We start from the raw sequence: 23335 nt of genomic DNA on the forward strand, positions 1-23335 counted from the left end.
TGGTGGACCAGCAATCTTTATGCTTGTCTCACTACAGCCTCAGATTCTAATTAGTAAAACAGGCATATGCATACAATGATTAAGTGTAGGCATGCATTGTCTTCATTCCCTTTTTATGCATTATATAATTCTACAATGTTCATATTTTATAGCCAAAGGTTTAGTAGTCCACTAATAAGCAGTATTAGCTGCAAAGCCTATATTTAATGTGGTTGCATAGTACAAAAGCATCCTAGATTTCTTGATGCTAACATTGCTGAGTAACCAATTATAATCAGTTATTAATACTTAAGAAAGTTTTATTTGGCTACATTGAATAGCATCTGTTATTGAACAGTGTCTAGAGCACATGTATCCCTTGTGTCAGAATGTGTTTCTGGCTGACACCTTTAGGAGGTACGGGGGATTAAACAAAATATTTTACTTCCCAGTTCCCCACCTCTGCTATCACCCTCTCACAAACTTCATCCAGCATCAGCTTCTTTGCCCTAAAATTTAATCGTCATCTTATAAACTTGCTATTGCAAAGAATTATAAATATTCCTTTAACTGTCTGAAATGCTCTTTCAAACCATGGTCCCAAAATCCTCTACTAAAATTAAGCCTTCTTCCCAAGCATCTGGTGCCATAGCCATAGTTAGCTTCTTTTTGAATGGGCTTGGGGAGATAATATATTTACCCAGGGCTTTACCATGGCTTTATCCATAGAAGACTAGTTTAACAGAAGCTTGGCCCCAGACATGGAGTGAATTGGCAGCCAACAGGAGCAAAGCTGTGTCAGGACAAATGTACACTCTCCATTTTCTCTGGTTGGCTTTCAGCTGGTTGCACCACAGGAGTCTTTCTGTGGACTGCATATCCTGTGACCAGTAACTGGTGCACTCAACCCAGGTCCCTCTTGGCTAGGGAAGGCCTGTCGGGAGGCATTAGGTTCATGCTGGTGGAGATCCTTAGTCAGTGGCTCCCTGAAGGAAAGTAAGGCAAACAGCCAGCTTCTGTTGAACAGGTGGTAGTTAGACCCTAGATCTGCTTGGGGGTGGGAGGAAAAGAATCTCTCCAAAATTACCAGCCTTGCTGGTTTTCACATTATACCTGTACTCTTTCTAATAAATTATTGTTTAGAAACTGACTCAGAAATATCTCTGACAGCATCTGGAGCTTTCTGACTTTTCCACCTTCCTTAGCAGTCTGGATTTGGGCCCAAGTTAGAAATGGAAACCCCACTGGGGTGCAAGCAAAAGAGGAAGCATGTTCTTAGCCATGCATCAGTGGAGGCCCCTACTGGGAGAGGGGATTATCACAAGGCAGCAGGCAGCCCTGCACCCCAGCCTGCTGAGTTCATGCTTTGTGCCACAGGATGTGGAGCGAAGGAAATGTGAGGCCAAAGTGGTCACTCCAAGTTTTCTTATACAATAGCTTATTCAAGCAGACTGGGAATGCCTCTTAAGAGATTTGTTAGGTACATGTGCCCTTAGCAAGATGGCCACCACAGATGGTGGGTTCAGATATTCTAATTGAAATAAATGTTTAACATTCAGATGTATTTTATACTTCCATAACCAGTTTTTCTTTATCAGATGCTGTTCCTTATTCAACTGAATGAGGCAAGCAGGATTATTCACCTTTTACCACTTGATTTCCAACATAAATTATGGTTTTAAAATCAAATTCTGGCAAAAGATTTTTCTGTCTAATTTCAGGCTTATATTTAGTGATGTTATTTGAAACGATATGGAAAAATTAGTCACCCAGGATTAATGTGGATCTATTCAGTGTCACTAAGTTTGTGTATTTAATATACAGCAATGATGTTTGTACCATTAATTCTCTTGTTATGGTGATAAGTTAATTGTGATTATCATATTTTATCCTGCTTCAAATGTTAATGAAAGAGCTAAGTACCTTTAGTTCCAAATGGTTTAGATCCAAGTCATTAAATGCTCTATTCTTTCTTACACCTCTCCTCCTCCCTCCTCTACTAATGCCTTTCACATTGATGAGGTCTTTCTTATAGAAAGCACTGAATTGACCTCAAAGGCACTTGAAGCCTAAAACAAAAATATGAAAATTGATTTCTTATTCATAGTAAGTGATTTCATACTGTGTTCCTAAATTCTCTTCCTAAGGAACACTAATGCTTTCATTATATTGGATCCTTTCCAGTGACAGGTTTTGTTTTACCAATTTAGAACCAGTTAAAAACCTTCATTAATAAGTCATTCCAATAGATTGAAACAATACTTGAAAATTCACAGTAATATTTGGGGGATCTTTTGTGGTATCACTTTTGTATTACCTGATATGTTTTTGAGAATAAATTGGTTCAGAGAAGGTTTGTCATCCAATGGCAAAATACTTTGTTGTTGACTTCTACTGCACTGTTAATTTTCTGCATTGAGCCTGCTTAAACAATGCACTAAAGCTCTTTGAGAAGTTATAGCATCTTAAACACTTATAGAAGGCCTAAGGGTATTAACTTACTATAATTTTCTGAAGATTCATTATCCAAAATCTTAATTCATTATAAAAACTCTTTTGAAAACCTATAGAACCAGTGTTTTCTCTTATTTTCTTATTTGCACAGAATGAGAGATTCGTTGTTCTTTTTAATTTGTTTCATGTGGTGCTTTTGAGTACATTTCATAAAGGACTGTTATTGAATTTCTGTGACTGTCATTATATATCCATACAATCTTTAGGAACTAATATTCTGGGTTTCCCAGTTCTGTAATCTACTCCAAATTTAAAGATTGACATAATTAGTTTCCTCAGAGTTATAACCAGAATGTTAGAGACAGTGCTCCAGATACCTAAGACTAAGGATTAGGATTGGTAAAAGAAATTTTAAAAATTATTTCGGCACATGCTTTTTTTATTCTTTATTAAATGTACAACTCAAAATTATGTTGCTATTTGTAGTTTATGTCCGCATCTGTTTTTCTTACCTAGTTCCCTTTTTAAAACCATATGTAACATCTTTTAAGCTACTTGCAAATTCTACAGGCAATATTTGTCATTTGATGAGTTGAGAATTTGGAGAATGTATTGGCTCATTGAAGCATTATGTACTATCCAAATGCTCTTTTCTTAAATTTATAAGAACCTTTGCAGTAAAATAAATACGGCTAAGAAAACAAATATATTAAAACAGTTTTTTAAGAGCATGCCTTCTCAAATCTGTAATAATGATAATTCCTTACATTTCTAATCACTTTCCATATTTCAGGAGCAAGAGAGATGGGTAACTGGTTAAAATGGGTAATTTTTCTAGTTTCTAAGACAATACACATTGAGAAGTAGAAAGAATTTGATTTTGTATCATGAAATTTTGAAGCAGTTCCTTTATGCCTTTAACAAATGCAATTTCTGAGTGTTACTAGAAGGTGTTAATTGAACATATTTGTAAAGATTTAAGAGTTATGGATACAGATTATAAGATTTTGTTTATTTGTTTTAACCGTCTTTATGCTGTGTGAAAATCTTCAAAGCACCTTCTGATTTTTTCTGTTATTTTTCATGTGAAGAGCCTTCTCTTCAAAAGGTGTTACCTGACCACTTCAGCACCTACTGTGCAGAAGGGTCAATGAAAGGTTGTACAGGGAAACAGCATTTGTTGAGTAACTATTAAATGTCAAGCTCTGAGTTCGGGATCATCATTTAATCTAATCAAAAGCCCATAAAGTAGGTTTTTTTGTTTTTTTGTTTTTTTTGAGATGGAGTCTCGCTCTGTCACCCAGGCTGGAGTGCAATGGCACAATCTTGGCTCACTGCAACCTCCGCCTTCTAGGTTCAAACAATTCTCCTGTCTCAGCCTCCCAAGTAGCTGGGATTACAGGTACACGCCACGACGCTCGGCTAATTTTTTGTATTTTAGTTTGGGGTTTCACCGTGTTGCCCAGGCTGGTCTCGAACTCCTGAGCTCAAGCAATCCTCCCACCTCGGCCTCCCAAAGTGCTGGGATTATAGGCATGAGCCACCGCGCCCAGCCTAAAGTAGGTATTATTATTATTATTACTATTTTATGGGTAAGAAACCAAGATTCAGAGACCTTAAGAAACACCTAGTTAGTGGCAGATATAGAATTCAAATGCAGTATCTTTGGGACCAAAGTCTGTGCTTTTTCTACTTGCTAAGTTTATCACGACAGTGTTCTAAGACAATATACCACTGGAGATGTAAAGAGAAATAGACATTTCCCCTGCATTCCAGGAGTACATGCTGAAAATAGTGGAGGAAACGTATTCGTGTGGAAATTAATACTACAAAAATATCATATTCTATTATATGTTTTGAGAAGTGCCCGTAACAGGCTGGCAAGGTTTCAAATTAAGACTCTTCTTACTGAATTTATAGGGAGAGCTTCTTCCAGAAATATTATTTAAGCATTAAAACCACACCTTTTAAAATGACAACATTTTACCAGTGTTCATCCCAGATGGGTAGGATTTGGGGTATATTATTTCACAGGGGGAAGAATACATGCCTTTTATGCGTTTTCCTTTGTTAAAGAATCATATATGAAATGGGATTGACCAAAATGTACATTTTAACCATATATTCTTTTTATTCATTTAAGAAACATTATTGAGTAGTAGGCACGTGAGATTTTAAAAAAACAGAGCATCATTTCTGCTCTCAGGGAGCTTACAGTCTATTATGCAGGCATATTATGAAATGCAGAAGAAGGAAAGAAGGGAGGAGGGCTCAGACAGGCAAAACCTTGGTTACAGAATGTGCATCTCTGACTATATAAAACTCATAACCAAAGGCATAACCATATATTCAGTGTCATTGTATTGGCCATCCTTCTCTGAAGGATGACCACACAGATAGGTTTAGTCTCTTATTTCTTAGATTTTGACTCATTTTTCATTGTGATGAGATTATCTTAATACATTCTGAAATAAGAGACAAGGAATCTGTGGACTGAAAGTGAGTTTTTTTTTTTTCCTTTTCTTGCATTCCTATGTAACTCCTATATACTTCCTTAAAATAGATACTGCAATATGGTTTCTTCTTGGTGTCATAAAAATTATTTCGGTTGAAATAATACAAGTTGTAGAAAGTGTTAAAAACTCTAAATACTGTGTTAGAAGATTTTTCTGTAGAAGACTTTCATTGACCTGTGCTTGATGATAAACGATTTTGTAGGTATTTCCTAACTGAACAAATTACTTCTCACTCCCAAATTATCCATGTTTAAAAGGGATAATTAAATTTCAAATGTTTGGAGACATTTTCATGTTTTCTGCATGTTATCTGAATGATAAGGTACCTTGAAAAATGAGAAACAGTCTTTTAAAAGAAACACTGTAATCATACATTGATTTTAAATGACCCTGTCACACATGAAAACAAATCAGATTGTTGCTCTTAATGAGCTTTTCAATTTACTATTCAGTAGATCAGATAAGTGGATTTAAGAGGTAATGATCCTGTTTAGTACTCAAGCTTGACTGTCAGATCCTAGTAGTGGAGAGAAATCCCCAAGGACAAAAGCATTGACACAGTTCTAGATGGGATAATGGGAATCAAAGCTAATGGATGATAAAAGGAATGGTGCAAGTTACAAGGATAATTGTGGATTAAAGCACTGCCATGTGTCAATGTTGACTGTTTTTCTAGTATATTATTGGGTCAGATCTGATGCTTTGAGAAACTGTTTTGACAGCAGAACACAACAGACCTGCCTGCCTAGCTTCCTCCTCTTTTGAATGCCAGGGACACGGTAGGAAAACTTCCTTGTAGGACCCATTGAATTAGAAAGCACATTTTTTAATGTTAAAATGTTTGAAATGTTTAAAATCACATTTTAAAATGCATAATAAAATGATTAAAACAAAAATTATGTCTGAGTTTTGCCATAAAAAAGGCATTTATAATGTCTTGAAAATGTAAAATTTGATTTTACGAAAGTCCACTGTAGTTATTTATCGAAAACAAGAAAATTAACCAGTAAAGATGTAAATACAATAAGAAGAAAATAAGTAATTTGAGATAATGCCATGGACACATCCTTTCCAAAACCAGGATGTCATGGAATTTATTATTAATTTCATTTATCTATATAAATGATCCTGTGTACCATCAAAGAATTTGTGCTTTGAGTTGTGGTAAAGCTAGTTTAAACATACTCATTCATATTTTCATCTTTGTTAAACAAACGTGCCTTTTAAATTCCAGTCAGAGTTAAGGGCACACAGTCTCTGGCCCTGGAACTGAGCAAGTGGGTAAAGCAGGGCACACAGTAGGGTGTCTGATCCCTACTGTTAGTTGATTTTATAAAACTGGGCTTATTTTAAGGATCTCTTGACAGGGGTGCCACTAAAATAAAATTAAAGACAATTGCTATAATCAGTTACTAAATATTCAAGCTGTTCTCTCTAGCTACTTTTCTTTTTCTGTTGTAATTTACGATTCTATGTATTTTGTCTGTAGAATCCAATATGTGCTTAATGGGAAAAGTCGTTTCTCTCTCTTTGTGTAAAAACTATTCACATTATAATATAGTCCTAGTAGATCCAGACCGTGTCCTTCCACTGCACATTAAAGCCACGTAGTATTCACTTGACACATATTGCCCTAGGTGCAATAGTAGGGACACAAAGAATAAGGCATAGTGTCACCCCTCAAGAAGCACTCAGTGTCATGAGGGAGATTCACATCCAAACAGTTACAGTGTGAAAAGCGCCATGACAGAGGAATGGACTGGACGTTGTGGGAACATAAAGGAGAGTTCAACTCACTGTGCCTAGGAAGCCTTCAGAGGAGATGACTTTTGAATGAGTATGAGGGGAAAAAGAGGAAGAAGACTGATTGAGGCAAAATGACCAGCACATGAACACATAAAAATCTGAAATTGCATGAGATGTCTCAGTGATCCATCAGCATTTTATTGTGGCTTGAGGTTGAGGGAAATGTGGAAGTTGAGGTAGGCTGAGGCCAAGTTGTGAAATGCTTTGTGTGCCATTAATCATGTCGATGCTAGGTTTTCCAAGGGACCCAATTTGTATACTTCTATATACGAGAGAGGTTTGGCATCATGGTGAGCTTAGGGAAACTTTCTGTTCTACATATCATTCTTCATTAGAGCCCTCTTTGTGCTTAAAGGTTTGTGATTATTGAGGATTGTTGGTAACTGACTTCTTTAGATTCTCTCTCCTCCTTAGCTCCCTCTTTCCCCCAAACATCTTACAAGCAACAATGGTCACTTTAATCTTGTTAGAGATGAAGGCCTACTCTCATGGGCAAAGTCACAGATATATAATCACTGAAATGCTTTTCTGTAGGGCTCAGAAGTTAGTAGGTAAGGCAGCAGGAATTTGAATCTCAGTCTTCCTTTCTCTCTCTCTGTTTCTCTCTCTCTCTCTCTCTTTCTTCCCCAGCTTCTGCTCTCCACCGTTCAGCCCTTCCTGCCTTCTGTCACCCTCTACACCTAACCCTTCCTCCTCTCCCTCTTTTTCTCTCCCTCTGATTCACTCCATCAGCCTGAGGAGAAGGCTTCCAGACACAGGACTCAGGTTGAAAGCCTGGAACACAACCTGCTGGTTCAAATGGTATTTAAAATCCAGAAAAGAAATTTCTACAATGGCAGCTTTCCTCCCCTCTATGACCCTATACCTCTGGGTGATTTGTGTTGCCCCTGTGATACCTTCATGACCTATGGTGGTGTATCAAGCTCGTGTTCAGATATAAAAAACAAAAGACAGAGGGAATAGAAGCTATGTTGCTGTACATAAGAAATAGGCAGATTAGGAGAAAGTGAGAGAACACAATCACAGAGGATCAAATCACAGAAGAGAAATCCCATACAGCTGGTGACTGGCAGGGATAACCTGGAATCACACCAGAGCATCAGGGAGTATGGAGGTGTCAACCCACCTCTCAGCTTTGCCAGGCTAGTAAGGGGTATAAGTGGCATTTTCCCACTTGAAGTGGGATATGTGTTTATAAGCTTAATGTGGCTTGGATTGAGACTGAAATGTTGCACCCCAAACTCTGCAACCAACACTCCCTAATTGGAAGCTTAGTGGATTCCCAGGCCCTGATGTTTTCAACAGGGAATCCCTGAGCTTGGGATTTCAGTGTCAACATGAAAAGTAAGACGTACCTGTATATTTGGGGAAGCTTAATTAGGTAATATTTGAGGAGAATTTCTATAAGTTAACTTCCTTTGATTTTTTTAAATCCTTATTTTTATAACTGCCTTAAATAATCCTGAAATGGTTAATATTTTGCTGAAATCTAGAATAGGTGGAAAATTTTTAAGTGTTGGAACCTTTTGTTGAAGTACTCTACTTTCCAGCCCTTTGCATACCTACTCCCGTCTTCCAGAAAGGGGTGGTCTACCACTTTGAGAAAAAAAAAAAATGTGTGTGGTGTGGTGGGAGTAAAATGGATATATGAGTGTGTTTGTGTGTAAGCGTTTATATATTTCAAAATAGGAGCGATCTGGAGGAAAAAGTTAGCAAATTTTAAAATTATAAGATTCTTTTTAAAAAATTCCTTTGCTCTCCCACCCACTCCCTACTTCAGTGTGGATACCACAGTGCATTAAATCTTATGTTTGTTCAATTCGAATAGTCTTTTGAAAATATATGTTAATAGTAAAACTTTTAACAATGAAATGTTTTAATGCAGGTATATGCTCGTATGTCAGAAGTCTTAGGAATAACAGATGACAACCACGTTCTAGAGACGTTCATGACAAAAATGTGAGTTCTTGTTTTGGTCTTTAATTTTTCTTTTGTTGTTGTTTTAAATGTAATAGATCTTTTTATTGTATTTAAACCTTTTTATATATTAATTTTTAAATAAAAGACTTAAAATTATGCTTTGTTAGAATGTTAGCATTGTTCTTAATTGAAACTTAATTTCACATATTGAAAAGTCACCATCCAAAGGACATTGTAATTTGTCAAGTTTCCATACAACGGCAGCGTGCAGCATCAGATGATGATTTTAAAAGATTTACAGACCTTGACTCTTCAGATCAATTGGGCAGCATTTTTTTTTATTTAAAAAGAAAAGCACGCGATTTGAAAGACCACGTGAAGAGATTATTGCAAATTGAAATCATTGAGAGAGGTCTGATAGGGCATTCATTAGTTCTAAGAGAAACCTATGGCTGGCAGAGACATATTCATGGAAACTGTCCTTATATTGGACTTATAACATTAGCAGAATAAACTAGTTTCTAGTCATAACTTTGTACACGTAGCCAAACTTGTATGCCTCCACCTGGCACCCCGCTTTATCTGTGTAACAGACAAACAACACTGTCTTGATTGCAGACAGCAAAGTTAGATAAACAGTCGTGATCATAAGAAGTGAGTTTTGGAGCCACAGATTGATGGTTCATTATTTGGCAGTAACAGTGAGCCTCTATTTGGCTTTCTTTGTAACTCCTGCTTCTCCTCCCTAATATGTTTTGGGTACAAACTTGATGTTTTCCAGTGAAACACTTAGACAACTTTTTAATTTACAAAACTAAATATGTAGAATTATACACCATTTGGAGAGCAATATTCATTGCAGATTGCATATAATTTTGAATATGCTATTGAAAGAATAGACAATGTTTTTGAGCCTGTTTTTCACTTTCAAAATATTTGTGATTTAGGTCATCAAACTTACATAAATTTATGTGTATTCTCTGGTTCTCCTTAGACAAGCAAATATCTTACTTATAATTAAAGACTTTTTTTCATATTTAGTGTTACAAACCTTAAATACTGGGGAAGATATGAGCCTGTAATTTCAAGGACTCTTCAGTTCCTAAATGACCTTTCTGTTGGATATCCTTTTCACTGTATATCTGACATTATGTGTAAACAACCTAGCAGATGCATTTAATTAACCAGGTATTCTCCTTGTTTATAATTTTTGCAATTTTTTAAAAAAATAAAAAGACCTTTCATTTAGCCTTATCTGTAAATGCATGTTTTTGAAAGGTTTTAATTAGCTGTATACTATGAAGCATTTAGTCGGAATCACTGTTGAATTTATATGGACATATAGATTCCTAAGTAGTTACAGTTATATTTATACTCACCCAGGCTAATAAATGGTTATATAAGAAAGTCCACATGTATTTTAGTTCATGCTTTTTTGTAATTGTCAGAAATTCGTGTCCTAAAAGAAAGTATGTAACTTAATTTTAAGGAGGTCAAAATGTTCTAAAAATATTACCTTATAAAAACTGCATTCCTGTGAGTAAATATATCTCTAATATTCTTCAGTTGAAAAGAACATCATTTTCATTAGTTGAAAGGCACAATGGAGTAATACAAAGAAAATAAGTTTTTTGACCATTTCTTTGATTATTGCCCCCACCAAATCAACATCTAATCTAATCTAAAATAAGATTCCCCATTATACATTAAATGTTTAGATTTCTCTGTCTAGCAGATTTTTAAAATTCTAAAACCAAGAATCTTCTTACTAAAGTCTAGTTGACAGTATTGTCATATTTCTAACAACTAGAGAGAATCATGTAGATTTTCTTTTCTACATTAGCTATCAAATATATAGGACTTGTGAAAGATAAGTGTTGGATTAATCACTAAGATTAGCTGATCTTTTAATATGAGGACAAATTCTGAAAATGGTGGCATTGAATGGAAACCTTTAATGTAGGTTCATTCCAGGAATATGTTTATGTTAGTTAAGTTTAAAATTGTATTCCTTGGTAAACCATAAAAGATTTCCAAAGTATTAGACACCCACTTTTGTGCTGGAATTTAATATGCAACTTTTTATTGGAAAATAATCGTCCTTGTCTGGCAAAATCCACCATGCAATATTTCTGTTAGTAGGTATAATGCAATAAAGCCAGGGAGGGCTATTTATCACTACAAATTTTGAGGATTTCAGGATTCTTTTTATTATTTTAATATATTTCTTTGATATTAAATCAGAAAAATGATAAATTACACCTGTCTAGGCTGTTTTTCCTTTTTACTGGAAAGTGATGTACAACCCAATTCCAATGGTCATTTGGCTTTTTAAGATATGTATTTTTTCTTATTAAAAAAAAAACTCAACCCATATTTTTTTCTAATAATAATGCTGAAATACTCTTTATTTCTAACATATGAAGTGGTTTATAAGTACTTCCTAGTATTGCAAACTCTGGCCTTTTCACAATGAATTACTTTGAAAGCATATTATCTGCAAAGAAGCCTCAGTTATTTTATAGCATATATCTATTGTTTAGATTTACCCTATTTTTTTAGGTTGAAATTGATATTTAGTATAAAATTAATTTGATTTGTATTCTTTTAGTATAATTTGCATAATGCCTAATTTATTTGTATCTGCTATTTAAGATCTTTTTCTATCCTATTAAGCCTATTATATATTCTTTAATTCAAATATTATAGCCTTTTATTTTACATGCTGTTTATTGCTTTTGAGTACTTCTCAAAGTGAATTAAAAAATCATATTTTCAGAAAACTTACTAGATAAAAGTTTAAAAGCTATAATATTTTAAGCCAGGGGATAGGAATGATTTCAACATGGGTACATTGATTTATATTTTTTAGCAATTATTTCAGGTTTGCATATTTAGAAATATATATTAGTTCAATTTGATTTCAGTGCTCAGTTATTTGAATTATAAATCATTATGTCCCTTCTAGCTGATCAGTCATGAAATATCTTTGAATTCATTTACATAATGGAATATGTGAGTGGTGTATCTGTTTTAGTGCAGTTACTGGTTACCTAATGCATGTTTTGTTTTTCCAATGGATTTCTTTATTATAATGTGTTTTTCAGTCTTGATTTTAAAGCAATACATTATTTCTATATTAGGAATAAGATGACATTCTTCAGCAATAGAAACACGCAAGATCAAAACCATCACCTATAGGCCCTTGTTATTGGAAATCTGTTTATATATTAATATTCAAAATATTTTTATTTAAAATATTAGAAGTAAATGAAAAGCATGTTTCTCACTATGAAGTTTTTTAATGTTCTTTATTTATAGTACATGTCTTCAGATACTTTCTGTTTTATTTTTTCTATTTTATCTGCTTCAGATGAACCTTACTCAGTGTTTATGGTGCTCAAAGCCAGTCTCTGAACTTTGGTGGTCTTTTATCTGACCACTTGTTAGAAATTGAAATCACACAAGACCCCCATTTTTAGGAAGTATTAAAAAGCCTTTGGTTGCCTTAAAGCAGTAGTCTCAGACTTTAGTGAGCATCGGAATGTGAGTGCTTTTTAAAACACAAATTGTTAGGCCCCACTCCCCAGAGTTTCTCTTTCAGGAGGTGTTAGGCCTAGGCCTGAGAATTGCAGTTTTCACAAGCCTCATGTTAAGTTGGTGGCTCCAGGACCATACTTTGAGAACTTCTGTCTTTAGGTAGTTAGAAAATAGAGCTGCATTGTATGTCCTGAGCAGAAAAGTCTGGTACTTCCCTCACAGACACTTTTTCATAGGACTTCATAAAACTCACTAGACTTACAGTTTTAGAGATAGTCTAGTTCCTAAATAATGATGTGGGGACGTAAGTCCCCAGATTGTAACTGGATGACTGTTGCATTTTACCCCAGAATTGCTGTTTGCCAAATTTGAAACTTTTCAAATTGGTAAGATTATTGTTATTTTAAAATCCAGTGACCTTTTTGACAGAAAGTTAATGTTTTCCCATCAGATTCATTACATGGGTATTTATAATAAATTTAGCAAATACATTTGAGTAACTGTTTAACATACTCTTTATATTTTCAAGACCAAATTCCAAGAATTTCTGAAGTAGCTTTTTTGAACAGGCACAGAGCTGAAATGACTCTGTACAGAGCCAGCCCGCTGTGTTCAAGTTCAGTACTTGGGGATCTTTCCCTTCTTTGAAATGTTTCCTGGTCAGAAATTTTAGTTTCTGTCTAAATGGGAAAAGGAGAGATTGTTCAAATGATTGAATCAAGGAAGCTCCTGGGAAAACTGGAGAGAGAATAAGGGTCATACAGAGCAATCAAGTAAACTTACTTATTTTAAATGCTGAAAACGGAGAAGAGTATCACATTTTATCCAAAATTCTGTTTGTTCGGTAATCATTATTTCAAGTTTTTATTCTTTTGAAAGATAATTGATCAGTATTTCTACTGCAATTTATTCTTTACTCAAATTTGTAGCAGTTAACATGCTCCACTTGGGTTTCAGAAAGGAAATTTCATTCTCTATCAGGCCCTCTGTTGGTGGTTGGCCTTTATTACATAATCATCAAACATGAGAAAACTAAAAATATCTAGAGTGTGTGTGTGTGTGTGTGTGTGTGTGTGTGTGTGTGTGTGTATTTTGAGGTCCTTTTTTTAAATATACTTTAAGTTCTGGGATACATGTGCAGAACGTGGAGGTTTGTTACATAGGTACACGCGTGCCATGGTGGTTTGCTGCACCCATCAACCCATCATCTACATCAGGTATTTCTCCTAATGCTATCCCTCCCCTAGCCCTTCACCCCCCTACAGGCCCTGGTGTGTGATATTCCCCTCCCTGTGTCCATGTGTTGTCATTGTTCACCTCCCACTTATGAGTGAGAACATGTGGTGTTTGGTTTTCTGTCCCGTGTTAGTTTGCTGAGAATGATGGTTTCCTGCTTCATCCATGTCCCTGCAAAGAACATGAACTCATCCTTTTTTATGGCTGCATAGTATTCCATGGTGTATATGTGGCACATTTTCTTTATCCAGTCTATCATTGATGGGCATTTGGGTTGGTTCCAAGTCTTCACCATTGTGAATAGTGCTGCAGTAAACATACGTGTGCATGTGTCTTTACAGTAGAATGATTTATCATCCTTTGGGTATATACCCAGTAATGGGATTTGCTGGGTCAAATGGTATTTCTGGTTCTAGATCCTTGAGGAATTGCCACAGTGGTTGAACTAACTTATGCTCCCACCAACAGTGTAAAAGCGTTCCTGTTTCTCCACATCCTCTCCAGCATCTGTTGTTTCCTGTCTTTTTAATGATCACCGATCATCAGAGTGAACAGGCAGCCTACAGAATGGGAGAAAATTTTTTTAATCTCTCCATCTGACAAGGCTAATATCCAGAATCTACAAGGAACTTAAACAAATTTACAAGAAAAAAACAACCCCATCAAAAAGTGGGCGAAGGATAGGAACAGACACTTCTCAAAAGAAGACATTTATCTAGCCAACAAACATATGAAAAAAAGCTCATCATCACTGGTCATTAGAGAAATGCAAATCAGAACCACAATGAGATACCAATATCTAGCTTTTTAAAATCAGACTCTATAAGAGAGTTCCACATTCGTTTTTGAGTTTATCCAAACTTTTTTTTTTTTTTACCTTATGGATACTGTTAACCGCAACAGTTCTCAAGATTAATGACTTCTCCATGTTATTGCAAGGCTAGCTACATAATTTGCAGGGCCCACCTCAAAAAGAAGAATGTGGAGTTACTTGGTCAAAAAATGTTAAGAATTTCAAGACCTCAACAGCAAAGCATTAAACCATGAAGAGGCTCTTCTAGGCACAGGGTCCACTATGCAAGTATACAGCCCGCATGCCTGTGGAGCTGGCTCTGGTTTGGTTTGATATAAAGAAATAATTCCTTCCATTTGGCCTCAGACTGACTCTCTAAGATTATCCCCTTAAGTTCCTGTACACCTGAATTTGGTGAATGTAAGTCCCATCCATATGCATGATAAATCTATTTATCTACTAGTTTATTTCAGTCATTTTCGTTTCTACAAGCCAAAGAATCTATTTTCTATCAAAGTCACTTGATGACCATGAAAATTTTATTTTTTACCCCTACCTTTCCCAGCTCCATTTGTCTTTCTTTTGCTTGCTTGTTTTAAGTACAATAATTAGAACTTCATCCTTATCTAGAGTTAACATTTAGTAAGACTAAAATAGTGATTTTTAAATTTAATTCCATACTCATCTTGAATCTTATTGACCTCTTTCAATTCAGCAAATATTTATTAAGCATTTGCTAAGTACACGGCAAAAGAACAAATAAAACACAGACCCTGCCCTCGTGGATTTTAAATTCTAACAGAATTGACACTGATTGCAAACTTCCTTTTCTATATTTCTCCAAAGAGCTTAAAGTCAGTTGTTTTATTAATATAGTTTCTATTTCTTCTGTTTAAATTTAACTCAGATAAATTACATACGAATTTTCTGAAAATCTACACATTAAAAATAATGTGGGTATGTGACATTGTGATATGGCTGATTTGAGGGAGCCCCTTTTATTCGAGGTCATTTAGACATAAGCTTATAGATAAACCATTAAGTATGCAGCTTTTAAACTTACCAAGTAATGTGCAAACCAGACATCCTCACATCTGTTTCTGACCTTCCCACCATTTGGGTGTGAATCCTGAATGTGGTAGGTGTCAGGAAAGAGTAGAGGATGAGAGATGAAGCAAAGGGCAAGAATGAAACAAGGGTGATGGATGAAATTAAAATTGTTTATGTCTGTTACAGGAACTATTTAGCAATAAACAGTAATATTTCTGCTTTTGTGAAACAGTATTAAAATGCATTGCTTTATTTTACTGAATACCACCATCTCCAGATGGTTTGTGAGAATGTTAAATAAAACTAGTTTCAGCTTACATCCCTCAGGCATACTTCTATTAGCATTTTTTATCAGAGGAAATGTTGATTTATTTCATTGTTTTCTGTCTTTATCAGCTACAGAAAAGTCATCCCATAATTTATCTCCTCTGTTTGTTTGAATACTAGAATCAGGTGTAGAATCCTCCCTATTCCTCTTCTGTAGCCCCCTTATTTAGACCTTCACCAAGTTCTTTAGATTTTTGTTTCACAAAATTACGTACCTTGAGTATTGTTTTGATCTGATCATTTCTCTTCCCAAAAGCCCACAATCTCTTCCACCTGCTTCTTAGGTCAAGCAAAAGTATTGACTTAAATTTGAGTCCTTTGACCGTACTTGACTTACTGAGTTCCCATAGCTAACTTCCTGATACTCCATTAGACCACAATTTGTACTTTATACTTGGGCCAAGGAAATTTATTTTACCTACCCCTTGATAACCTTCATTATCTTTCACTGAATCACCACATTTGCCACTCTCCCTCATTTGACACACTGTAACTCAACTAGGTTTATTCAATTTTTCAGTCTTGGCTAAAGACTTAGTAAAGCCATCATGAAATAGCTTAATCCTTAGTCCTTTAATACTAAATGTTAATTCCCTTCATTTTCTTTCAAGTCGTGGTTTATTTTTCTTAATGTTTGTGAACACCTTGTTTTCAATCTACATATCTGGGTATGAATGTAATATAGTTTAGTATTTGCTGGTCCTGTCTCCTATTAGATTGTAAATTATTAGAGATTAAGACTTGTTTTCCCTTCCTTTATAGTTTCAAAACTTCATACAGTGGGCATTTAGAACTTACTGTTGCCCCTTCTGTTGAGTGATTATGACTTAACTCCTGTTCCTTGTAAATAATTATTAGTATCCCTTAAGATGCTTCATCGTTGTTATACCTATTTGGATTTTTTATGTGGTTTTTTTTTTTTTGTTATACTTTAAGTTCTGGGATACATGTGCAGAATATGGAGGTTTGTTACATAGGTATACACATGCCATGGTGGTTTGCTGCACCCATCAATGCATCGTCTACATTAGGTATTTCTCCTAATGCTATCCCTCCCCTACCCCCCCACCCCCCGACAGGCCCCTGACGTGTGATGTTCCCCTCCCTGTGTCCATGTGTTGTCATTGTTCACCTCCCACTTATGAGTGAGAACATGTGGTGTTTGGTTTTCTGTTCCTGTGTTAGTTCGCAGAGAATGATGGTTTCCAGCTTCATCCATGTCCCTGCAAAGAACATGAACTCATCCTTTTTTATGGCTGCATAGTATTCCATGGTGTATATGTGCACATTTTCTTTATCCGGTCTATCATTGATGGGCATTTGGGTTGGTTCCAAGTCTTTGCTATTGTGAATAGTGCTGCAATAAACATACGCGTGCATGTGTCTTCATAGTAGAATGATTTATCATCCTTTGGGTTTATACCCAGTAATGGGATTGCTGGGTCAAATGGTATTTCTGGTTCTAGATCCTTGAGGAATTGCCACACTGTCTTCCACAATGGTTGAACTAGTTTACACTCCCACCAACAGTGTAAAGGCATTCCTATTTCTCCACAGCCTTGCCAGCATCTGTTGTTTCCTGACTTTTTAATGATCACCATTCTAACTGGCATGAGATGGTATCTCATTGTGGTTTTGATTTGCATTTCTCTAATGACCAGTAATGATAAGCTTTTTTTCATATGGTTGTTGGCCACATAAATGTCTTCTTTTGAGAAGTGTCTGTTCCTATCCGTCGCCCACTTTTTGATGGGGTTGTTTGTTTTTTTCTTGTAAATTTGTTTAAGTTCCTTGTAGATTCTGGATATTAGCCCTTCATCAGATGGATAGATTGCAAACATTTTTCTCTCATTCTGTAGGTTGCCTGTTCACTCTGATGATAGTTTCTTTGGCTGTGCAGAAGCTCTTTCATTTAGTTAGATCCCATTTGTCAATTTTGGCTTTTGTTGCCATTACTTTTGATGTTTTAGTCATGAAGTCTTTGCCCATGCCTATGTCCTGAATGGTATTGCCTAGGTTTTCTTCTAGGGTTTTTATGGTTTTAGGTCTTATGTTTAAGTCTTTAGTCCATCTTGTGAATAAATATTGATGTTATTACCCAAATTATCAGAAATGGCCAGGTATCATATGAGGATAACTAATTAGTATAGTTTTTGGCCTATATAGTCTCCCTTAGTACTTTTATAATGGGTAGTTCTTCCTCCTATTCTTTTCTTTATATTTGCTTAAAAGGAATTTTGTCTGTTTGTGTGTGTGTATATGTGTGTCTGTGTGTGTGTCTAGTAGGGTTCATGAGCAAAATTCCACTTTTGAGATAACTAAACTTACATTTCAGTTACTCTACTTTGTGCATATAACCTAAGTACAGCAATTTCTGACATGTAATATTGTCATCTGTGAACTTTCTTCTTTCATCAGGATCTAACTCTGTCTGCAAAAAGTGTCTATGAACATGTATGACTTTTAAATATTTGCCCAGATTCAGTATGATTACCCACTCTCTTGTACTTAGTGAATATCATGTATCTAGTACACTAATATAATTCTAAATGAAATTTTTTCACGTCTTTACACTTTTGTAAATAGGATATATCTTATAATTGATGGTATTTTTAAGTACTTTTTCTTAGTAGTACATATTATAGTGGTTTTTTTGTTTTACAATCAGTGGTGTTTTAGATTTGATTAAATGGGGTAAATACTCAGAAAAGGCCTGGTACTGTGAATTGAAGTCATACTTGGTGTTACTGTGTCAAGCAGCTACTGAATTGTGTAGTACTCCTGTAACCTAAGAAAGCAGTTCATTCTCAATTTAGTATCCTCCTTTTCAAAAGATATAGATTTTCAGAATTTTCAGCCATCTATGAGATTCTTTTCTTGTTTTTCTTCATGTGTCATCCTAGCTATCAATAAGACTGTCTTCACCCTCTTCGATGTTTTCATAACCACATGGCTAGAGACAGGGATTTTCTGAGAATTTAGTTTAATGGGTTACTGCCAGCCAGACTATAGAGTTTGCTCAATCCTGGATGTGATGCTGGCTCGTTAATGAATTGGTCCCTCCTAAAATAAAATGTTTCCCTGTCCCTTCTGGGACCTGATTCCGATTTCAATTGTATTTCAAGAAGCAAATGATCTCTGGAGGAGAACTAGCCTCTTTAAAATCAAATGGATCTGATATAGCCTAGTGAAAAGACCCTATGTTTTAGAGTCAGACAGATCTGGATTTGAATCGTGACTCTTCTGTTGACATGTTCCATGTGTGACATTTCCTATATTAATGTTACTCTCAAGACTTCTAGTACTGTTGCTACTGTTACTGTTACCACCATTACCAGATTTACTGCTAAGAGGTGTTTTGAATAGACCTCTGAAGTCTAACCTAGTGTTGCCATAATTTATCTAGTGCTCCACCCAGCCAAAATGGCACAACTCAGAAGAACCCTAGTCTCTTAGAGAAGAATAAGATCAGAGTGTAAAGATCATAAAGATGATGGGTTCATTTGCCTTTTTTAACATTACAGACCCACTTAAGAGCCAGAACTAGCTTTGAATTGGATTTCTATAAGATAACATAAATATTCAGATGAACTCTCATTTTTTTCTTTATTGAAAAATATAAAAATTCTTAATCATTTTTTTCTTTAGAATGTAATTAAAAGGCAGTGAGGCTGGCCTTGGTACAAAGTGCACAGATGCCGTTCTGCAGAAAATGTGTCTTTGACAGATGAGATTCTTCCTGTGAATGTTCTGTTTATTGCTTTCATAAATATTCTATTGTCAAAACATGACTTGCTGTTTATTAACAGCACTGACAGGAAGATTCCTATTAATGGCAGCATTCTTATTACCCATAGACCCTGTCACTTTTAACTTCGCAATTTTAAGAGAATTCTATTTGGTAATTACTTAAGATATTTCTAAGTTTATTGATCCCACCCCAGTTTAACTGAGTGAAGTTTGAGTGGCAGGTCTTCAGCCCAGTGACTGACACTAGGAATAATCATCAAATCTGCATCTTTGGAGGCAAGGAAAAACTTGCTACCTGACAGCCTTGATCTTGTTGCCCTGCAGCCTGCCAGAAAAACCCAGTGCTTTGTGGCCAGGCACGGTGGATCACTTGAGGTCAGGAGTTCAAGACCAGCATGACCAACGTAGTGAAACCCCATCCCTACTAAAAATACAAAAAATTAGCCGGGCGTGGTGGCCCATGATTGTAGTCCTGGCTACTCGGGAGGCTGAGGCAGGAGAATCACTTGAACCTGGGCGGGAAGAGGTTGCAGTGAGCTGAGATCACGCCACTGCACTCCAGCCTGGGCGACAGAGCGAAGAGTCTGTCTCAGAAAAAAAAAAAAAGAAAAACACAGTGCACTGAGCACCTGCTGAGAGCAGTGCAATAGGGAAAATCCATGGATGTAGTCCCTGCCCTTAGAAAGTTTACTGTCTAATACAGATACATGCTGAAATGTAGATGTATATTTTAAATAAGCAGGTATATGGCTAAGCCAAACATACATGCTTCATATGCAACTGGAATGGTTGCTTTGGAATCAGAGGAACTTGAGTATAAATCATACTAATTGTTTATCTTTTGAAAAATTATTTAATTTTTTTTAGTTTATTTCCTTACCTGAAAAATATAAGTGATGTGCTACCTATCTCATGGAATTGTGAAAATTAGCCTTGCAAGTTGCACACGTTGTGTGAATTCTCTGCATCTTTCTTTTTCCGTGATTGATAATTGGCAAAGACATTTGCATTATCTGATCCTCAAAACAATCCTGTAAGGTAGCTTGGGCATAGGTTTCATCCTCATTTCTTGGAGAGGGAAACTAAGGCTGAGACAGGCTAGGTTTATTACTTGGATTCATTGACTGGTATAGTCAAGCCTAGGTCTCCTGACTCATGTTCCAATGTGTTTTCCACTCTTTGATACCCATGCCTGAGTGACTAACATTTAGAATTATGCTTTTCAGTGCCCCTGTGCAGAGGCAATAGACTGAGGCATGTATTTGGAGATGATGTGAAGGAAAAAGAAAGCCAGTATTTTCCTTGTAACATCAATGGAGCCATATAAGATTATTACAGCCTTCAAGAAAGGCGTGAGTAGGTATTAGGGAATGGCCGAGAGATGCTCTAGCTGTGGTAGAAAACACATGACTATGGTAGAGTAAGAGAAGAGGGTATTTGCATACTGACTAGATGTGTTTAGAATCCACATCATACCTGAAATTATTTAGTCCTTGTATTCATGTTTCCGATTTCTTAACTTTATGCTCCTTCTAAGTTGAACTGTTCAGATGATAATGTGGTACAGCAGAAAGAACATGGCCTTTGGAACCAAACTACAGTTCAAATCTCAGCACTGTCAATCCATGGCTGTATAATCTTGGGCAAGCAACTTAATTTCTCTTAGCTCCTGTTTCATTATTTATGGACTAAAAATAATAAATAATACTTAACAGTGTAATTGTGAAGATTAGGTGAATTAACATATGGAAATGCCTTTTACGTACTAGGCACTTGAGAAATATTAGTTCCTTTAAGCTGTCCTTCTATACTTGATGACATGCAGTCTGCTATATCCTCCTAATTATATTCTGATCTTAGGTTTCTACCAAGAGAGCTCACTATTTCTTAGAATTGAATAATTTTCTCTTTTTTGATAGCCTATTATGGGTCTTTTATAAAATTATTTCATTATGAAATAACATTAAGTAAGTAGAAGTTCGTAAGTTACACCCAAAATATAAAAAGGGATCAGTTTTAATTTTCCACTATCAAGACTTTAATAGTAAAGGAGTTCTTGTCTTAATTATAAAATTCATTCTTTCTTTCCATAACTAGAATATGTATAAGATAGAAAAAGTAATTGCATTGGTTAATAATAGATTATCATTCTTAACAGAAGGAAAGACGTTTCTATAGGAATGCTCTTTAGAAATTATATTTTTTTATAAGTAGAAATTGATGCCACTACAGTTCACTGTTACTTTGTGATTTATTACATACTGATATTACAAATATATTTCCTTAGATTCCTTAACTTCTATTACTTATATCCTTTTAAAAAAACTTGTGAAGATAGATGCTGTGAAATTCATGCTAAAAAACCACACGGTAAGTCTTATTTCTTTAATTAATGAATAACATTTTACGAATAGTTGAGGTAAAGTGTTAGTAACTTGGATTACTCTTTTGCTTTCATTAGAGTGAACACTTCCCTTTTCTTGGCATCAGTGACAATCATAGTCTCAGCGACTTCAGGTGTCGAACAACCTTCTACACAGCGCTCACTCGCCTTCTGATGGTAGATCTGGGTAAGGTTAAGAATTTAAACTCAATTAATAAGGGATCAGCAATACACTTGTGTGAATAAAGAAGTGGAGTACTAGTGGGTACAACATTTAACTTATTAGAATTAGCGTCTTCTGACAGTTTTCTACAACCTTCTAAGATTTGAGTGTTCACTTGTTAGCATTAGAGCCAAAAGACAAATATTTGTACTTAAGGTGGCATTTTTCACTTCACATAACACTTGCACTGATTTTTTACCTCACAGCTTACTTTCTGCCTATCCTTTGACACATTAATTTTACTGCTATGAATCTAGGAATAATCTTAAACAGAGAAAAACTTTACACACAAAGATTTTCGTCATAGTGATGTCTAAACTAGAGAAAAAGTAGAAATGATGTAACTGTCCAACAGTAGGGAATTGTAAAATTATGGCACGCCTACTTACTTGTAGAATGATTGGCACGCAATAAAAATGAAGATTTAAAGACAAGGCAATACATGAAATTTTATATTATAACATTAAGTGAAAAGGCAAAGTGTTACACTGGTGCAAATGGTATGATCATGTATGTTGGGGATGGGGGGACAATACTTCAGAAAAGGCTTAAGTGAAATTCTTCAAAAATGGTTAGTACAGCCATTGTGAATAACAGTGTAGAGGATCCTCAGAAAATTCAAAATAAAATGACTGTACAATCCAGCAATCCTACTACTGGGTGTATAGGTATCCAAAGGAAATGAAATGAGTATATCAAATAGTTGCATTCCCATATGTTTATTGCATCGTTATTCACAATAGCCAGGATATACGGAATCAACCTAAGTGTCCATCCACAGATGAATGGATAAAGAAAATGTGGTATATATACACAGTGGGATACTATTCAGCCATAAAAAAGGAAAAATGTCTGCCATTTGCCACAGTGTGGATGAACCTGGAGGGTACTATGTTAAGTGAAATAAGCCAGGCACAGAGGACAAATACTATATGATATCACTCATATGTGAAATCTAAAAAAGTTGATCTCATAGAACTAGAGAGTAGAATGGTGGTTACTAAGAGCTGAGGACTTTGAGGTGATGCTGGTCAAAAGATACAAAGTTTCAGGTAGAAAGAATAAGAGATCTGTTGTACGTAGATGGTGACTATAGTTAATAACAATATATTGTATTCTTGAAAAATGCTAAGAGAATGGATGTTAAGGGTTCTCACCACAAAAATGGTAACTATAGAGGTAATGCATTTGTCAATTAGTTAGATTTAGTTACTCTACATCATACATATGTACCTCAAATATATTGCAGGTTTAGTTCCAGACCATCATGATAAAGTGATACAGTAAAGCAAGTCACACCGTTTTTGTTTTCTAGTGTATATAAAAGTTAAACTTACTGTACTGTAGTCTATTAAGTG

The 23335-nt window shown here is 35.5% G+C and overlaps 1 protein-coding gene across 16 annotated transcripts in view; it reads left to right on the top strand.

Annotated features, from left to right (window-relative positions):
* RANBP17 (RAN binding protein 17) overlaps positions 1-23335 on the top strand; it is a 437998-nt gene that overhangs the window by 299472 nt on the left and 115191 nt on the right. For all 16 annotated transcript variants that reach the window (XR_007058628.1, XM_011534627.2, NM_022897.5 and 13 more), the window contains 4 exons: positions 8641-8714; positions 9717-9797; positions 21678-21741; positions 21833-21941. Coding sequence is in view for 15 of the 16 variants with exons in the window: in XM_011534627.2 (XP_011532929.1) it covers positions 8641-8714; positions 9717-9797; positions 21678-21741; positions 21833-21941 (328 nt within the window). In the remaining variant the exon portion in view is untranslated. The remainder of the gene's footprint in view (positions 1-8640; positions 8715-9716; positions 9798-21677; positions 21742-21832; positions 21942-23335) is intronic.

This window comes from Homo sapiens, chromosome 5, assembly GCF_000001405.40.
Source record: "Homo sapiens chromosome 5, GRCh38.p14 Primary Assembly".
In the NCBI taxonomy this organism is placed as follows: domain Eukaryota; kingdom Metazoa; phylum Chordata; class Mammalia; order Primates; family Hominidae; genus Homo; species Homo sapiens.